A 4,252-nucleotide genomic window follows, 5' to 3' on the forward strand; every position below is an offset into this window, starting at 1 on the left:
ATAACAGCCACAAAGTGAGAACAACCCAGATGTCCACCAACTGATGACGAACTTTGAGCACACTAGTCTACATGAAAGAAGCCAGTCCACAGAGGACCACATATTCCATGATACAGTTTTCACAAAATATTCAGAATCAGAAAATCCTTAGAGATGGAAATTGGATGGGCAGTTGCCGAAGGCTTGGGAAGAAGGGTTGGGGAAAATGGGGAATGACTGCTAATAGGTACAGGGTTTCCTCTGGAGGGGAATGAACATGATCCAAAATTAGACTATGGCAATGGTTAATCAACTCTGTAAATATACTTTTAAAAAACCATGAAGTTGTACACTTAATAAAAAGTAAATGGTCTGGGCAAGATGATTTATTTTGATCTTGCCCAATTTAACATTTTTTGGAATAGAAGCCCATCTTGAAATGAGGCTCGGCTCTACAGGAAAAGAATGGCTCTGTCCATGTTAGTGCACAATGAAGGGAAAGAAGTTGGGCGACTTTGCCAGTACACAGTGACAAAATCCTACCACTCTATTATAAAAATGAGCTAATTCATAAATTAGGTGCCACATATGCAAACTGTAGTTAAGTGCTTAGTAACCACTGACGTTTGATGGGATACTTAACATACGCCTGGCCCTGTTCTTTCCATGGATCTCATTTAATCCTCACAACACCTCTATGAAGCTTCAGATGAGAAACTGAGGCTCAGAGGGTTACAGTAAAGACAGGAGGCTGAGAGGCCAGATGCAAATACAGGCAATTTGACTCTAAGACCTGTGCTCATGACCTCTGGCTATCCTGCCTTGCCTTCTCCATGCAATCCACCTGGGTGCAAACTCTGTGCTTAATCAGCAGAAGCAAATAACCAAGTCAAAAATAACCTCATAGTTTCTTGCTCGATTTCTTAAAAGCAAGGAGAATGATCATTTCATTTTTCAAAGCCCTGAATTCAGCTTTTCTTACGCTCAGGCAGACACTGTTATTTGCTTGCAAGGCACATACTCCTGGCTTCCCGGGGCTAGATGTGCTGCTCTTATCTAAGCCAGGCTGACTGGTTTTTTCCTTTTTCTTTTGTAAATGTCTGTAATCCAGCAGCTTCCCAGCAGGCCCCTGGAGCTCCCGATTGCTCTACACCTGAGAAATTTGCTGCAGAAGCCCTAAGGAAGCCAGATTTCAAAGTGCATGCTATTTGTTTTTCCTCTCACCTCCAGCCATAACGCTTTGTTTGCAACATAGTAATCGTTCCACAGCCAGAGATTCCTCCATCATAAACACAAGAATATGACTCTGGGAATGTAGTGAGCAGTAGGAGACGACAAATTGTTCAGGCATGGCCTTTCCAGCAGGCTGGTCCTGATGTCAGAGCCTGTGCTGCCTTGGTGCTTGCCTCTCACAGCCCTCCTCTTCCTGCCCACACTAGATGCTACTCTCGAGCCCAGGCCCAATGCAGGCTGCAGAGAAACACCCAAATGTCTGCTCATAACTCAGAAACCACTGTCCAGCTTTGGAGCTTACCGTGGGGATCAGGAAGGTCAATGCCCAGCCCTCAGCAAGAACTGCCAGCTTCTTTTGGTATGGGCACCCAGGCCTCCAGCCTGTGGTACAGAATGCACCTGTGTGGGAATGCATGTGAGTGCCCGAGTCTGTGAACATTCAGCCTGCTGTGCAGGCCTCATGAGTTCTGTTTGGCTACCTGGGCTCCATACAGGCAGCTGGGCCTCTGTGTGGGTACACTCACCTCTCTGTGAGCACCTGGGCACACTGGATCTCGGTGCCCCTCCAGATAACACCTAGTTAGCACCTTGGCCTGTGAGAGGACGCTGAGGCCCCAGCCAGGTCCCCTTCTCAGAGGCCTTTAATCTTCCACGGTTCTTGCAAAGAATGGAGACGAGCCCCCAGCCCTGGGATTGTCCACAGCCTTGGAAGGCAGGTTGGCCTGGCATGTGGGTGGCATGCAGAAGATGGGACTGGTACAGAGAAAAGTGGCCGTTTTTTCAGGAAAGGAGGCCTTCTCCACAGAGGGCCAGGCCCTGGCAGAAATACCCCAGGCCTTTTCTCTGTCCTCTTCCTCATGCTCCTCCCTCCGCCTCCGCCCTTCCTCTGCCCTTCCCCGTAGGCTCCCTCTCCCCTATCTTGTCTTTGTCTCCTTCCCTCTTTCCTCCTCCTCTGCTTTTCTCTTTTTTCCCTTTCTTCCCTTCCTCACCCCATTCCCTATCCCTCTCCACATTTCTGTGTCTTCCAGTCTGTTTCCCCCTTTTTCTCGTCTCCTTGCTCCCTCTCTTTCTCTGAGTCTGCCTGCTTTCTCCTCTTTCCCATCTACCTCCTCTTATGCTCACCAGGATTCCTCTCTAGGCTGCCCACCAGGTCCCCTGGAGCATTCACAAGACTGCTGGATTGACCACCTGATCCCCGTGCGCCCAGGCAAGGTGAGGCGCGGCCATCGTCCTGCCTAGGTCCCTGGCCAAAACACGCAGCACTGCAGCCAGTTGCTTGGGCTCAGAGGACCACTGTGGGCACAAGTGGCCCCTTTGGAAGGCCACTTCCTTTGCAGATAACTAGCGCTTGCACAAACGAATTGTCAAGGTCTGAGTTTAAAAAGAAGAGAAATCTCCAAACTAAAAGCCAGAGTGCTATAATGACCTCGCCTGGGGGTGACATCAACCCCAAACACTGATTCCCACCTCATTCCAGCCTCCCTCCGGTTGGGGGGCCCTATGGGGGATGCTGAGCTCAACCTCTGGGTTCCCTGTCCTCAAATGATTTACAGGTGGTCTACGGAGGGCCACAGGGCCACGCGCGGTCACCACACCACAGCTTCCTGCATGGCCTGATCTCTCAGGGTGAGATTGACTGCTCTGATAATGCTCCTCTTTTCTTTAACTGCCTGGGAAGCCCAGAGAGTGGGAAGAACCTGACCAGAGAGGGTATAACACCTGATCAAAGGGCAAATCAACTGGCTCCAATCCCTCCAAGAAGGGACAAGAAAGTGCCAGTGAAATGTAATGGGACAGAGATAATTTCTTTTTCCAAGACTCCGCTAGGGGAAAGGACACAGGCCTACTTGGGTAAACCACTTGAAGTGGGTGGAGGTGGTGAGACCTTCCAAACATGTTTTGCTTGAGTAACAGCAGGTAAGCACTGCCCCCTGACCTGGGAATGTCGATCAGGTTAATTGGAGGGGAGGTAGGAAAGTCTGGGCCAGAGCTGACAGCTTGGGCAAGGAAGGTGAGAAGCTGGACCCTGCAGAATTTTCCATCTCAGCCTTTCCCTCACAGGGCTCAGTCTTATCTTTAAATGGCACAGAATGTTTGACTGAAGAGGCATCTAATTATCAGGCCCCCAGGATCCTTGAGACCTGGTCTGGCTATGTGGCTGCCTCAGTTCCCCAGTCCCCACCACCCCCTTTTCCAGGCCTCCCTTTCTGCATTTGAAGAATGTGGGGCTGGACTCCATGGGTCTCTCAAGGTCCGGCCTGCTGGGTCAATCTGTGAGTCTGTGCCGTGATTCACTCTGAAATCAAGGCTGAGTGATAGAATTGGAAGCTCTTCCTGTACATTTTCTCGATGGTTCTCTTAGGTTTGTTTATTCCTCACAGTCTCTCTGATCCTGGCCTAAAAGAACTGGGCCACAATCTGATGATCAAAACAACTGGTGCAGGACAATTGCTTTGATTTGCTGTTGGCTTCAAATCTGGATTAATGGTTGCCTTTCTAATTAAGCCTCTGAGCACAGGATTTAAAAACTCACAGGTGTCAGGTCCTTAAAATGGACCAGCCCCTCCTACTCTGTCTCAAGGCTCCTTTTCTATTACATAAAAAATATTTTTTAATATCCTTTTTACTATCCTGAAATTGAATTCATAAATAATATAAGCCACTTATGCACATGATTTTAAAAATCATTATAATGTTCTTAGTACATTATATAGGAGACATAAGAAGAATCTATTACAAAATACATATTTTAATACAGAAATGTCTCTGTCTCTCCCTCTCCCTCTCCCTCTCCCTCTCCCTCTCCCTCTCCCTCCCTCTCTCCCTCTCCCTCTCCCTCTCCCTCCCTCTCTCCCTCTCCCTCTCCCTCCCTCTCTCCCTCTCCCTCCCTCTCTCCACGGTCTCCCTCTGATGCCGAGCCAAAGCTGGACGGTACTGCTGCCATCTCGGCTCACTGCAACCTCCCTGCCTGATTCTCCTGCCTCAGCCTGCCGAGTGCCTGCGATTGCAGGCGCGCGTCGCCAGGCCTGACTGGTTTTCG

The 4,252-nt window shown here is 49.4% G+C and overlaps 1 annotated feature.

Moving 5' to 3' along the window:
* Positions 796 to 1,502: an enhancer, noted in NCBI's record as "NANOG-H3K4me1 hESC enhancer chr11:20566010-20566716 (GRCh37/hg19 assembly coordinates)". NCBI's record gives its function as "activates a minimal SCP1, AML or CMV promoter by ChIP-STARR-seq in primed H9 embryonic stem cells {active_cell/tissue: H9 hESC(primed)}" and the evidence as "EXISTENCE:reporter gene assay evidence [ECO:0000049][PMID:30033119]".

Source organism: Homo sapiens, chromosome 11 (assembly GCF_000001405.40).
Source record: "Homo sapiens chromosome 11, GRCh38.p14 Primary Assembly".
Taxonomy (NCBI): Eukaryota; Metazoa; Chordata; class Mammalia; order Primates; family Hominidae; genus Homo; species Homo sapiens.